Source organism: Homo sapiens, chromosome 2, assembly GCF_000001405.40.
Source record: "Homo sapiens chromosome 2, GRCh38.p14 Primary Assembly".
Taxonomy (NCBI): domain Eukaryota; kingdom Metazoa; phylum Chordata; class Mammalia; order Primates; family Hominidae; genus Homo; species Homo sapiens.
Window position 1 is genome coordinate 176395118 of NC_000002.12, and position 16050 is coordinate 176411167.

At 37.3% G+C, this 16050-nt stretch overlaps 1 annotated feature.

The window, feature by feature from the left end:
- Window positions 10530–10579: a silencer, noted in NCBI's record as "silent region_12136". NCBI's record gives its function as "represses an Ori minimal core promoter by ATAC-STARR-seq in GM12878 lymphoblastoid cells {active_cell/tissue: GM12878}" and the evidence as "EXISTENCE:reporter gene assay evidence [ECO:0000049][PMID:35858748]".

Consider the following 16050-nt stretch of genomic DNA (forward strand, 5'->3'; position numbering starts at 1 on the left):
CTTCTGTGAAGAGAGATTCTCTCATTCACTATGTAAGGAAGCTTTGCCCCTTATCCTTCAACTACTCCAAATTCTTCCAGTTGTTTCTTCTGGTATGACTTCCGTATTCCCAAGTAAACACATGCGACTCTTGAGCCATCAGTTTTACTGGCAACCTATTGCATAGCCACTGTGGCTAAGAGGACGTAGCTCTCTTATGCCAGTCTCCAGACTTTCCCCCATTATTTTTGGTTAAATCAGCATTTCAGAGTTAATAAAATTGTGACTATCGATATGTTTGTCTGAGCCAGGCAGTATCCCACGATTACCTTTCCTCTAGCCATGGCACTTTCACTTTCCTTGGAATGACTCATTCCCTTGAGTTTCATTGGATTTGTTTGCTTTGTGTCCATTAATATGTCTTTGCATACTTTCTAATTGTCTCCCAGTACCATTTCCCTCATGATAACCCATCTGATGTTCTATCAGTCTCCCTCTCTGCCTGTACCCCTGGCTTTTTTCTCCCTGGAAGCCTCTCTGGATCCTGAGTCTTCCTGCTCCACTCAGACCCAGCTGCCCTGGAGGCTCACAGTCCTAGTTTCTTTCCTTGCCCCTTTCCTATATTTACCTCTTATTTTCTTGAAGCATCTATCTTCCTTTCTTGTTTCACTATCTTATTTTGTGAGAAAAAAAAAAAAGCACTCCTGAGAAAACAGGGCAGGGGAGGTAATTATTTTAGTATTCTATGTCTCTTAAAATATCTTTATTCTTCTCTCACATTGAAATGATAGTTTGGCTACAGGATTCAAAATTGAAAATGATCTTAATTGTCTTCTAGGTCCCAATGTAGCTTCTGAGAAGTTAATGCCATTCTTATTCCTGATCCTTCATACGTACCCTGTCTTCCACTCTCCCATTTAAAAGTTATTACAATTTCTCTTTCTCCCCAGCGTTCTAAAATTTCCCGATGTGGACATTTTTCATTAATTATGCTAGGCTCTCACAGGGACTTTCATTCTTCAGAAATACATATTTCTGTTCTGGGAATCTTTCTTATATTATTTATTTGATAATTTTCTCCCAACCATTTTCTCCTTTCCTTTTTTTTTGTCAGTTCTATTTATCAGCTATTCCATACCCTGGATTGATACTCTAATTTTCATTTTTGGGGGGTTTCTTTTGACTCTTTATTTTTCTTTCATTGTCTGTTTCCTTAAGAGATTTTCTTAGATCCTTTTATCGCAATTCTTTTTTTTTTTTTTTTTTTTGGCTATCAAATTTTTCTTCTTGGAACTCTTCATGCTCCTTATTAAATCTGCTCTGTACAAGTGCCAGCAATGAAGATCAAATAAATTTTGATCAATGAAGATCAAATAAATTTGCTTGTTCCCTTTTTAGAGCTTCTTCTTATTTCATGCAATGTCTTCTTTTGTCCTGCTGAGAATAGTAATTGTGGTTTGGGGGATGTTTTCTTCTGTCTTTTGCATTGTTTCTCTTACCTCTAAGATCCTTTCCTCCCTCCACCAAGTTTCTTGGTTTAGATTTCTGTCCTTTATATTACAGAAGTTCCTCAGATGTCTGGTACTTCTGTGCTATAAGATTATAATTAAGAAAAAGGTCATATTATTTGTAATATCTGTAACATTTTATTTTCTAAGCAGAAATTATCTTTGGTTTTCTGATATGTTTGATAAAATATTTAACAAAATGGAGGAATCAAAGTTTCCTCAGAATTCTACCTCCTACAGAAAACCACTATTAAAGAAAATCCGTCACATTTTAATGCATGTGTAAACATACATTTACATAAATAGAATTACAACCTACAGTGTTTGAAAACTGCCCTTTTCCACTATTGCTAGGCCATTAATATCTTTCCATTTCAATACATATACTATACCTTTTTTATTTTTTATTTTTATGTTTTGAAATAGAGTCTTGCTGTGTCGCCCAGGCTGGAGTGCAGTGACGCTATCTCGGCTCACTGCAGCCTTAACCTCCCGGGCTCAAGTGATCCTCGTGCCCTAGTCTCTCAAAGTGCTGGGATGACAGGCATGAGCCACTCAAATTCTTAAATGGCAGTTTGTGTTACTTTTTCTTCCTTTAAACATCCTGAAGCTTAGACACAGAATCTATATTTCTCAAAGACCACTACAGCCTCCTTTCACCGAACAGCCATTCAGGTAACATACACTCAAAAGAGGAAACACTGATACTTAATTAACAAGAGAAAGTTGACTTGATATCCTGTTTGCACAGAGACAAAAATCAGTCTTAAAAAATAGCAGATTGAAGTTGATGTTAAAAATATACACCTTGACAGTGAGCACTTCTGTATCTCTATGCATGAGATTACCTATGCTATTATAGTAAATAGAGCATCGAATGGGACATGATTAGGTTCAAGTTGCTGTGATTTGCCATAACACAAATGTGCATATTTTATAGTGAGAGATGACAATAAAGATTCAAACAGGACCAAGCTATCTGTACTTTTGTTATAGTCCCATTGTTACTAATGCATAGTTGCACTTAAAAAATGAAAAACAAACAAAAGAAAAAAGAGCAGGACACAATCACAGAAAGTCCAGCTGGGTAGAACTACTGTCGATCAGATTCTCTAGGCTTGGGGAGGGGCGTCTGTGCCTGCAGCAACCAAGGGATTCCTTTATGGGCTAAGAGTTAGAACAACTTCCAGTTTCAGCGCCCCCTCATCTCGCCAGGCAGTCTAGGCTGTGACTCAGGTATAGTGCCCAGATAAGTTGTCTCTGGATTTCCATGATTGAATACCCCAACATAAGTACATTCATTTATTTAGGGGATGTATATACACTATTACATTATGTTACATGTACATTACATAAACCAAACAGAAAATTAACAATGATCTAAATAGTACCCATAAATAAAAAATTTAAATTTTCTATCTGTACCCAAGTATATTATTCCTATTTTGGAGTCCACTGGTCTGGGAAGAAGGTACCATTTTCATCCATGAAATGAAAGGTCCTAGAATTTGCCTTTACAGCAAGTGAAGCACTTGGTGAGAATAATGAGTCTGGAGAAGCTTATGTAAATTATCTTTTTTCCTTCTCAGCACCCATCGAGACCCGTCTGTATTATAGGTCGTCCTTCACTAATGGAAAATTCCTTTAACTAGACACTGGGATAGAAACACAGCTTCCAGAAATGTGTTTCTCCCTGATGTGATTTGAAAGTATTATGCTGGCTATCTTTATGTTCTCAAAGTTCAGAATCAAAGAAGGAATTTTCAGATTAGTTGCAGGTTCTCCCTTCCTTCTCCCCATCCCACTTTTGTAACTGGATGCGCTTTAATTCAAAAGGAAACTTTTCAGGCCATTAAGCTTCAGTACAGTTTAATGCCTTTGGGCTGAGAGGCTTGAAATCATAGAGATGCCTGAATAAATGTTTTAAAATAAAATCTGGAACAAAAAGCACACTCTTTAAATTTATTTTAAGTTTGATTTTCTGCCTTGTTCAAATAAAAAATCTTGCTCATGTCCATGCTGCAAAAGCCCCAAAGAATGATGGCCCAGCCCAGCTTTGGAGTGGATGGGCCAAGTCTGAGGAGATTGGGCTTATCTTAGAGGGAGGAGGGCCTCCTCTGGCTTCTACTTTTAAAATAGTCCCAAATGACCAGTTTGCATTCTAGGCCATAGTAACTCTTTTGCAGAATGAATAGTATTTTCTTAAGCACTTTTAAGTTGTCATTCACAGCCTATTTTAAAAATGACTTAATGAGTAAAAATATGCTGTTTATAAGTCCCTATGTGCATATTTTTTTAGAATGGCTAAAACAGTAGTTTTGTTTGCACACATTTACTGCAGTGGCCAAGAGAGATGCGATTGTGGTCAGACTCCCTCACAGTGATTCATGAAGGTCAGTGCTATCTGCCTGGTCATCTTTTTTAGGATCAAATTGGATTTTAACAATTGATTCACTTGAACTTGCACAGACCTTCAGCCCCACTTTTCAAATAGGGAAATTAAGGTTTGCATATATGCAAATAACTTGCTCCAGTGTAAGCCAAAGGCAGTGGGGCAATGAGGAACACAGGTCACTTGAAAACCTAGCCAACTGTGTTGCCTGTAAACTATAGTGAAATCTCCTTAGAAGAGCTCTGGTCAGCAAGACAAGAAGTGAGTTCTTACTTCTAGACTGGGAAGGATTTGCCAAGCAAATTAATAATCCACAAAGAAAGAAAGTTTAGTGTATATGCCATTTTAAGTCCAGGAAAGCAACCAGTCATGTATAATTGGCATGCTAATTATGAATTATTTCTCTATTTGTTAACCAGATCCCTACATTATCTGTTACAAGCAGTGCCTTTCTAGCTGTATGAGTTATGTATGGTTTACAGAAATGAAACTACATTGATTTAAAACATTCTCTAATTCAGATTAGACTGAATGAAGTTCATGTAGCAAGAACTCTTTGCTTCTTGTCCTAATTTTAAAAATTAGCTTTATTCATAAATTTGTTGTTGTTTAATATTTGTGGGGTTTGGAATACTTTTATTATTTAAAATTAACAATCATTCTAACTTTAAGTAGGAAACTGCATTTTAAAAACCATTTTCCACCAAGAGGAAGATTTAACTTTATTTTTTAAACCGTATCTCTATGAGCCACGTCATTAGGAGCAGCCCAGGCAAAGATAAAATTTAAATGAAAAGTAAATTTTCTTGTAGGAATGGGCTGTATCAAATCTTTAAGTGATTGTTTTAATATCTTATGTCCTTTTTAGTTAGATATTCCAGGAATAATCCAAAACCCTTGAAAAAAACTTTAAAAATATGTCCTTTGTTGCTTTTTAAATCAGTGTGGTGCTTTAGGAGTTTCAGATAAAATGACAGAGACCACCTCAATATTTCTCAGTAAAAAGGAGGATCCAGTGATATTATACTTTATTATAATACCCTCAAATAAAAATGGAAAAATAACTAGGGACTGTATACCCATACAATCCTGCAAATGCAGAGTCACTAATTGACTTGAGTTTTTTGACAAATCTTCTGGTTCAAATTAATTCATGTTAATCAGATCTAGGCCACCAAAGACTGTCTAGAAGGATTTAGGAGATGTACAGCTCAGGCCAGTCATGAGAGAATCAGAATTCTTTTAAAGAGCTACAGTTTTAAATTGTGAAGTGTTGAAAATGGGAAAACTCATTTTTTTTTTATTGGAAAACTGAAGTCAATCTAGAGCACGTCTTCTCAGCAGAGAGTAACATTGATTTGGGGGTTGGGAGTTCTTGATGATTAGTTTTCAAATAAGGATGCCATCCTCTGCAATTCTGAATCATGCCTGGTTTCATCTTCACTTTGAAAACTAGTTATTTTCATCCAGAAAAAAGCATTTTCTACGCAGTGGTAATATCACAATGAAATTTTATCAAATGCCTCAGTAATATATAGTCATCAATGAATCTAACAAGGATAAATTTTATAAGAAAACCAATAAAAGAAAATGATTGTATTGGTTACTAGAGCCAGCATCCAGAAATGAAAAATAGAAAGGAAAATATCACTTTGCATCGGACAGCATTTCAGTATATATAATATGTTGGGATCTTCTCTTCAAAGTTATTAGGTATCTAGCGGAACAACAGGCAGCAAAGGGATAAAAATACTTCAGCCCTTTTAAAATGTCAAAAACAACGTGAAAACCACTGTTTCATCCCTAATCTGTTGTCTGAATAAAGTGCAGTTTTCTGTCCCACTGAAATGTTTATGTGTTTAAGTCAAAATGTGCTGTGAGCCACTGTTTGGAGATGCATCTACACGTGGGAAAAACTATTCAAATAGTGAAGTGAAAAAAAATCAGTGAAGGATTCTACCAGATAGACATCTGGAAAACATGAGAAATGAATTTTTTTAACCTCTGAGCATTGGGGGTCTTGTACTTATACATCATCTGCCTAGTGTTGCTTCCAGATGCAAGAATGAACTTGGTAAAGAATGATACATGTTATAAAGAAGAATAGAAAATACTTAAGATTGTAGGCACATCATAATAATCTGATTTTTTTCTTCAAAAAAGTATATTTAGTTTGAAATTGTAAAACTTGAAATATTGTTTAATAAATTTGTCAGAGCAAAAGAACTTGAATGTTTAATAAGTTTTATCATTAAATTTGGAATATGCATCAGCTATCATAACTGTAGCTGATTCTAAAATATGGATTTATTTTGATATATTGATTCTATTAATTTTTTGTCTCTTTATTTAAAAAATTTTTATAAATTGCCTTGTACAATTTACAAGGCAAATCATTTTAAAGGGTTAAAATTAATAACAATAGCCTCTGACTCAAACTTCCCCTCCTCTGAGTCCTTTTCAATGGAAACCACTTTTAGCTCCTCCAGCTTGTTCTTCTAGTATTTGTGATCATTATTTTGAGAAACATCCTTACACCACTATTAAAAATCCTTCTTTTCAGCTTTAGGTATTATCTATTAGTTTCCTACTTGTGATGATGAGGGTCAGTTTTCTTCCACATCCTTCCTCCCTCCATCTTCATTTTACTTAGACCAATATTCAAAGTTTATGACTATGTAAATATTTTTTACAGCTAAGCCGTACAATATGATACTATTTCCTTTATTGCATACTATATTGTTCTCTCTGGAATTGGTAACTCTCCTTCTCTTTTTCGTTTGCTTAGTTTTCTGTTTTTGTTCTAGCTTATCCCCAAGTCTTGGACAGAGTGGTACATTTTTCTCTGATTTCAGTTAAACAAACCAGGTAACTTTTTTCTTAGGTACACCCCTCCAGAATCTCTTTTCGCCTTGCTCTAGTCTAGACTAAGCTGTGTGCTATTTATTGTCCTAGAAGCTTCCTTTACTATCATCTTGTAGATTCCACTGCCTTTCTCTGCACTGGAATCTTTGTTTCCTGGATCCCATACATTTCAGGTTCTTGTTTTTCCATCCTTTGGATAGTAAGCCTCTATTCTATTAGCTTTCTAAATAAATAAAATGCAGAGAAGATACTTTTTTTTGTCTTTGCATTTACAAAAATGATGTTATGCTATCTAATATTTGATCAATAGTTTGGCTGAGAATATAATTCTACTATGTAAGTAATTTTCCCTCAGTATTTTGATGGCATTGCTCCATTGTCTTCCAGTTTCTGATTTTGTTGTTAAGATTTCCTATGCCTTTCTTTGTATGAGCCTGTTACAAAGCTTCCTGGATTTCCTCTTTGTTTCCAGAGTTTTGAAATTTCATGATCATGAGCTTTGATATTAGACTTTTTTCATTTGCTGTGCTGGGTACTTGAGCCCTCTTAATACATGAATGCATGTCGTTTTCTTCTGAGTGTTCTTTTCTGGTGTTATTTCTTTGATGATTTCCTCTCCACCTCCTGCCCTAGTCTTCCTTTGTAAAGGTACTATCATTCAGAAGCTGGACTTCCTAAACAGATTACTTAAATTTTTCATCTTATTTCTCTCATGTTCATATATTTATCATTTTTATTTGGTTTCTGGGATTTTTTTCTCAACTTTATATTCCAAACAGTGAATTTTTTTCTACGATCATAATTTCCAAGAACTCTTTACTCTTCTTTGAATATTTTAAAATAACATAATTTTGAAAATCTTATTTTTAATTTTCTTTTCTGATCATACATTGTTTCTGTTTTCTCCAAGTCTGATCTTCCCTCCCTCCCTCCCCTCCTTCCTCCTTCCTGCCTTCCCTTCCCTGCCCTTCCCTTTCTTACTTCCCCCTCCCTCCCTTCCCTTTCTTCCTTCCCCCTCCCTCCCTTCCCTTTCTTCCTTCCCTCTCCCTCCCTCCCTTCCCTTTCTACCTTCCTCCCTCCCTCCCTTCCTCCTTTTCTTCCTTCCTTCCTTTCTTTCCCTCCCTCCTTCCCTTTCCTTCCTTCCTTCCTTCTTTCCTTCCTTCCTTCCTTCCTTCCATTTTTATATGTTAGAAGCATTTCTCACATGTCTAATGATCCTTGGCTGTCTGTCCATTTGTGGGAATGAGCCTCTGTCATGTGATCTGGAAGCTGTGTGCAGGTGCACGTGTGTGCCCAAATTCTCACTAGGCTTCACTCTTAGGTGACCCGACAGTATTCTTCTATTAGGGGAATGTCCAAGCTGTTTGTATGTATTGGTCTTTTCTTTAGCTTGGTCAGTTGTTCTCAGAGAGAAATACTGCCTGGGAGCCATTAGCCAGGCCCCCAGCATTCTTGCATTCAACTGGGGAAGGGTACTGTTCTGTGTGTAGACTTTCACTTAGTCCTTCTGTTTCCCGTAAGGAAATCCTATGCTCAGCTGTGACTTGTGTTCTTGTGACCAAAGTCACTCGAATTCAACTTTCCAGAGAATAAATCTCTAGAATTCTACCAGCTTAGTTAGTGATAGTATATTGCCGAACCATGGTGGCTGGAGAAGGAGATCTGTTGTATATAACTGCCATAGAATACACTGTGTATAAAATTTTAACCAATCCATTTGTTTTCAGTTCCCCCACAACCCTACCTCCAGAGGTATCAACTGCTCCATTTCCTAAGCCTTTTAGGGTTCTGTAGTGCAACTATATTTGTTCCCAGACTTTCCCCCACTGCTGGCTTCAGTTTCTGTTTTCTGACTCTGCCTAGAGAGTTATAACTTCTCTACTTGCTTCCAAGTAGAGAATTCCAAGATATTACTGTTATCTTCTCACTTATTCTCTTAATCCTTGTGAGTGAATACTTTTTTTTTTTTGAGATGGAGTCTCACTCTGTTGCCCAGGTGTGAGTGAATACTTTTAAAAAAATTATTTAATTCCCCCTGAAGCAGTGATTTGGAGAGAATAAATGCATCAGTGACAGCATCTGTTACATCTACCCTGTTTAAATAGAAACATCCTTTTTCCTGACTCTTCGGTTGTCCTTTTTATGTTAGGCCTGCTCATTCTTGTTTCTTTTCAGGTTTTCAAAGGAGACTTCCTTAAAGCTCAGCCCTTTGTACTTCCTTCTCTTTGGTGTCTACTTTGAAGACCTCATAAATACAATAATCTTTCTTATGCTACTTCTTTAAAGACTGTATCCTCAATCTTATTTATCATCTAACCCCAAGTTCCATATTTCCATCTGCCCAGTAGCGCAGGGACTAGGGGGAAAGAATTGTGGTCCCAGGTGCAAAGTTTAAGGAGGCCCTCACTCTCAGGGCTGTGCTCCCTGAGACCTTGAGAGTCACCACCTTCTTGAGTTTGGTATCCTGGGCTTCTTACCCTCCCCAGCCCAATGCCAGTCCTGCTGCCTCCTACATAGCCACATTTTGGCTATCACAATGTCACCTCCCACTCATTATGTCTGTATCAGTCCATTCTTGCATTGCTATAAAGAAATACCTGAGACTGGGTAATTTGAAGAAAAGAGGTTAAATTGTGTCATGGTTCTGCGGGCTGTACAAGAAGCATAGCGGCATCTGCTTGGCTTCTGGAGAAGCCTCAGAAAACTTACAATAATGGCAGAAGGTGAAAGGGGAGTGGTCATTTGACATGGCAGGAGCAGGAGCAGGAGAGAGTGCGGAGGTGCCACAGACTTTTAAACAACAAGATCTTGTGAGAATTCACTGACTATTATGAGAACAGCACCAAGAGGATGGTGCTAAACCACTCATGTAGGATCCACTCCCATGATCCAATCACCTCCCACCAGACCCCACCTCCAACACTGGGGATTACAGTTCGACATGAGATTTGGCGGGGATACAGATCCAAACCATGTCAATGTCTAAAACCAACTTCACCAATTTTCTATTCACAATTCTTCCTTTTTTCCCTACCTCTATTTCTGGTTATTTTCAATAGCACTACCATTCTCCCTGTCAGATTCATTTATCACCTTTTCCAGTGTCCTGATATTCCAATTCTAACTTTTACCTATTTTCCCTTTAAAGTATGTCTTGGCTGGGCGCGGTGGCACATGCCTGTAAACCCAGCACTTTGGGAGGCTGAGGTGGGCAGATAACTCAATGTCAGGAGTTTGAGAGCAGCCTGGCCAAAATGGTGAAATCCCGTCTCTACGAAAACCACAAAAATTAGCCACATGTGATAACGCATGCTTGTAGTCCCAGCTACTCAGGAGGCTGAGGTGGGAGAATTGCTGGAACCCAGGAGGCCGAGGTTGCAGTGAGCTGAGGTCGTGCCACTGCAATCCAGCCTGGGCAACAGAGTGAGACCCTGTCTCAAAGAAAAAAAAAGTATGTCTTTTATTTGTTCTGTCCTTTTCATGTTTTTTTTTCTAATTACTTCCAACAGAGATTTTAACTCTGCAAGCCTTGAACAGAGACTTTCCCTGCTTCAAAATTTCCTACACACTGTTTTCATCACCTCCCTCCTAGAAACCTCAGTGTCTACTTCCTCCCCATTCAAATCTACCATGCCTACTAGACTTTCAAAGCCCTCCATTACCCGACTCTACTTCACCTTCAACAAATTCATCTTTCTTTAAGGTTCAATACAAGTCATAACTCCTTCGTGAAGCTTTGAGTCACTATTCATTCCTTCACTGACTAGTCTGTTTAGTTTCCTCCTTTCAGTTCCTCTGGTACTAATTGTTCATTTCACACTTAATTTTACGCTGACTTGTGCTATTCCATGCCTCACGGCCATCTTCCACTCACTGGGCCAGAGCCAAGTCAATCATCTTCCCACTCACAACTCACTTCTCCTTTTCTCACCTATCATTCTAGTTTCTGTCAGGGACACTTCTAATCTCTAAGCCAGATTCATGGATCTCCTTTACCTGCCCCCTGATACTCTGATTTAAAGTTCGATCAATTTTTCCTGTAAAATATGTCTCATGTTTGTATGTCTGCCTCCTTCCCTAGACAGTAAGCATCTGAAAGGCAGGATGCATATGTGAATATGGCTTCTTGCAGAGTTTTAAGCAAATAGCAGGTTTCCAAATTCTCCTTAACAAGTAAGAAAACCTCCTCCAATATTTTACATGATAGTTATCCATGAGAAAGAAGGACTAATTTATCTTCTTATCAAAATATATCATTTCCAAAGAAGAGGATATTGCAGGGTTACCCCAGTCCCACGTGGGAATTATCATTCAGCATGTATTTTTAAAATATTTGTACAATTAGATAAAATGTTTAAAACTGAGTGCCAAAACTGTCTGTAACACTTAAACTTTAGTTATTCAAAATATGTCTCTGGTTACTATGATTATTAAAAGGCTGTGTTTTCCATAAAGGCTTATATAATGTAAGACACCAAGAAACTTTCTAAACATTGCCAACTCAACGTTATAGAATGTACTGACCCCAATAAAGTCTCAATATCCTGTTACCACTTCCCAGCTTCTTTCCCTGTTCCTTCCCTTTTTCCTTGGTGAATGCCTACGGTTTCATCACTAAAAACAAGAAGTTTAAAAACCAAGGAAGAACAAACAACAATCATTATAATTTGCTAATACATTTTCAGTCTTTCCAGAATTCCTGAACAAGTAATTTGTTCAGTTATTCCAACAACAATAAACCTCTGCAAACTATCAAACTACCAGTTATTTGGGAAATGAGAAATTCAATTAGGAAATGGCAAATGGGGTTGAATTAGCACTTCTCTGGGAATATATGGGATCAGAATTTAGGGCAGAATCTCAGAGCTTTTTGGCCTTCATGGACATTTGATGGGGAAGAGTCAACAGATGATGGCTGTTTTCCTAATTGTTCAGGCCTGGACTCCACACTATTTAATTATCCATCTTGGTCTTGCAGTGTTTGTGGTGGTTACCCAGTCGTCATGAGATACCATCTCTACATTCACTCTTTTCTCAGCAGCTTCCTGACTATAATTAACAGGTATTTGCTACTTTTGTCCTTATAGCAAGGCTGCTCCAATTTTATGTGCTTAGGAATCACTGGGATTTTGTAAACATGCAGATTCTGATTGGGTGCTTCTGGGTGGATCTGGAAGGGTGGTTCTGGTTCTGGGTGGGTCTAGAAAGTTGCATTTTGCAAAAGCTCCCACATGAGGCCAATGCTGCTTATCTAAGGAACACACTGGGAATAGTAAGGACTTTGGAATATTCAGAAAAATGTATTCATGTTTCAAAGTATTCTTTTTAAGAATAAAGTGAGGCAGGTTGCCAAGTTTCTGTATGTTGAATTGTTTTTTTTTTTTTTTTTTTTTTTTTTTTTTTTGAGACAGAGCCTGACTCTGTCGCCTAGGCTGGAGGGCAGTGGCATGATATTGGCTCACTGCAATCTCTGCCTCCTGAGTTCAAGCGATTTTCCTGCCTCCCGAGTAGCTGGGATTACAGGTGCCCACCACCACGCCTGGCTAATTTTTTTGTATTTTTAGTAGAGATGGGGTTTCACCATGTTGGCCAGGCTGGTCTCGAACTCCTGACCTCAAGTGATCCACACCCCCGCCCCTCCCCCAGCCTCTCAAAGTGCTGGGATTACAGATGTGAGCCACTGCACTGGCCTGAATTGTCTCGATCTCTTACTGGTAATTATAGGCCCATGATTTTGCCCTTTATTTCCAACTTCTAGTGGTCTAGGGGGTGCCTTGTCTCATATTGGAGAAGGCTGGCATTGCAGACAGGCAAGTTTTCTTTGAACTCACTGGGTCAGCAGCTGATCAGGGCTCTCAGGAAGCCAAGGAAGTGATTCTCAGCCCCTTCAGATCCTGCTCATTTGGGGATTTGGGGTATTTCTAATGCCATCCACCTCTGAGTAATTGGATCTTTATTTTTAAGAGTGCTGCTCTGAAGTACTTAGCTTTGAAGAATATTCAAGGGTCCCACTACTGGCCAGGAGGGCTGCATGTGGACTGCAGGACTCTCTGATTTATGGGGCTTCTCTTTTCCCTGTTCAGCAGGGAGTCACTTGCCAGATACTGAAACAGAAATATGACTCTTGGTGGTGATAAACATTCAGAGAAGAGGGCATGAAATGTGACTGAGCAAGGAACTGAAGAAGAAAATAACATTTTATTAATTGCACTACAGTCAGCCTCTATCTCCATGAGATTGTATGGGGGCCCTTCTTTTGGGTGGTAGATAGAAAAATATGAAGCTATGCATCACCAAGCACTGGTCAAGCAGGAGATTTTCACAATGGCTGCTTTTTGCCTGCTGTTTCAGAAGGGTTGATTCATTTTAAGATACAGATAAGATGGAGATATCTCCCTTTACAAGTGAATTTTATTTTGTTTTGTTCTTTCTTTTTCTAGGACCAGGTTGAGTAGCCTTGTGCTGGAGTTGAAAGACATTTTATCTGAACTGATATTTGTCTATATCAAAAAGGATATAGACAAACTTCTCTATTTTTAGTTTGCTAAATTTTTGTCACAAATGGGTACTGAATTTTGTCGAATGCTTTTTTTTTTTAACATAAATTGATAAGATCATGTGGTTTTTCTTCTTTAGCTGGTCAATTTGTTGGATTACATTGTTTGATTTTTGAATAATGAACTAGCCTTATATACTTGGAATAAATCTCACCTCGTTGTGATATATAATTTAAAAAATATGTTGCTGGATTCAATTTGCTAAAATTTTGTTGATTTTATGTCTAAGTTCATGAGAGATTTTTATCCATAGGTTGCTTTTTTTTGTGCTATTTGTTTGCTTTTTGTATTAGGGTAATGTTGGTCTCATAAAATGAGGTGTTCCCTCCTTTTCTATTCTCTGAAAAAGATGATATAAAATTAATGCTAATTTTTAAAATGTAAGGTAGAATTCTCCAATGAAACTATCCAGGCCCAGGAATTTCTTTTCTGGAAACTCTTAAATTACACATGCTATTCCTTTAATGGTTATAGGACAATTCAGATTTTTATTTCATCTTGGTTGAGATTTGGTAGTTTGTTATTTTCCAGGATTTGGTCTATTTCTTCTAAGTTGTCAAATTATGAATGTAAAGTTGTTTGTAGTATCCCCTTTTTATCTGTATTGAAACCCTCTGCAGGAACTATACTGAAATCTCTTATTTTATTCCTGAGATAGGTGATTTGTGTCTTCCCTTTGTCCTTGTTAGTCTTGCTAGAAGTTAATCAACTTTATTGCTTTTTTTTTAAAAAAAAGAAACAGCTGTTTGTTTATTGATTTGCTCTATTGTTTTCCTGTTTTCAATTTCAATGGTTTCTTGTCTTTTCTTTATTGTTTCCTTCCTTCTGCTTGGTTTGGGTTTATTTTGACCCTTTTCTGTGTTTTGTTTTGTTTTAGGCTAGTCAAGTGGAGCAGTGAGAGTGGAGAACTTTTTCTGTTTTTTTAAGGTAGGAACTTAGATTATTGATTCGAGACTTTTCTATTTTCTAATACAAACATGTTTCCTTCTCAGCACTGCTTTATTTGCATTCCACAGATTTATTATGTCGTATTTTCACTTTCAATTTAGTTCTATGAATTTTTAAAAATTCTTTTGAGATTTTTCTCTTGCACTATAGATTATTTGGACAGTGTTGTCTTATTTTCAAGTGTTTGGAGATTTAGCTGTTGTCTTTCTATTGTTAGTTTCCAATTTGATTTCATGATTGTCATAGAACATATATCATTTCAATTTTTATGAATTTGTTGAGGTTTGTGTTATGACCCAGCATGTTGGTCCACCTTGGCCTATGTTCCACAGCCTTCTGAAAAGAATGTGATCCTGCTGCTGTTGATAGAAATATCATTTAGATCCTCTTGGTTCATAGTGTTCTTCTGTTCTCCTATATCTTCGCTAATTTTCTGTCTAGTGATTTTATCAGTCACTGAGGGGGTGATGAAGTCTCTAACTGTAATTGTGGCAATATGTGTTCGAACAAGACTTCCAGGTGGTTTTGATTATGCTGAAGTTTGGGAACAAGTGCCTTTAACTATTTGCAAATTTCAACATTATGAAAGGAATCCCCTTCAATATTGAGAAAACATGACTTTTTTGGTGAAGTTGAAACTCCCTAGCTTAGGTTCTTTTCTTCCAATTCATCCTTCTGATCATTAGGTACCTTTAATAAAGAAAATTCCAATTATATCACTCCCAGGGACACATTTAATGACTCTCTGCTGCCATCGAGTTAAGCCTAACTATCTTAGCTTGAATGGTCTAGCCTCCTCTCCAGCACTGGAATTTGCTACCATCCTGTATGGGTTCTGCTCTCTACCAGACTGGACAAGTCATAATGTCTCACATCCACACCGTGCCTTCTTTCCCCTGGGTTTTCTTCATGCATTTTTTTTTACTGAAATGTCTTCCCTCCATATGTATTTTTTCCTGTCTTTCTATTTCAAATAATACCTTCTGATCAGGAGTTTTCTTAATATCTGAACAATATAGAATTTCTCCCTTCTCTGAGTCTCCATGGCAGTTTTTGTCTTTCTTTCCCATTTCTTTTTTACATGTTTCTTCTTTAGAGTTATTTGGGATTTTATCTTCTCTCTCCTGCTAGATTGCAATTTTATTGAAGCCGCGGACTCCATCTTTGTATTTCCAGCAGCACATCACATGGTTTCTTAAAATATTTTAAAATATTTGTTGAATTAAATTTTCTGGACAATTAATGATACTTAATGTGCCATTGCTTTGTTCCTATAAAATTAAAGAAGATTTCTAAAGTGAGTAAAGACAGTGTCCCCTTTCAAGGATCCTGGAAGTAAACTATTTTTCTTTTTTAATGAAAGAGCATTCATTAGGAATTTACGGTGTTTCTAAAGTGGCCTTTACATATATTTTAAGCCCTTTTTAAAGTAATGGTACTGCAGTAAAATACATAGCAATATAAATGTAATTGCCAATGCTCATAGTGATTCTAATGTCTAAGTGTAAATGATCTCTACCCTCCTCTTTTTTATCCCCTCTACCACTCTCATGGGCTGTGTCTTAGTCCATTTTGTGCCACTATAACAGAAAACCTAAGACTGAGTAATTTATAAAGAATAGAGGTTATTTCTTACGGTTCTGGAGGCTGGATAGTCCAAGATTAAGCGACTCACACCTGGTGAGGGTCTTTTTTCTCATCATTCCGCGATGAAAGGTGGAAGACAAAGGGGAGGGGAAGGAGGAGGAGAGAGAAGGAGCCTGAACTCATCTTTTTATCAGGAATCCACTCCTGCAAAAAC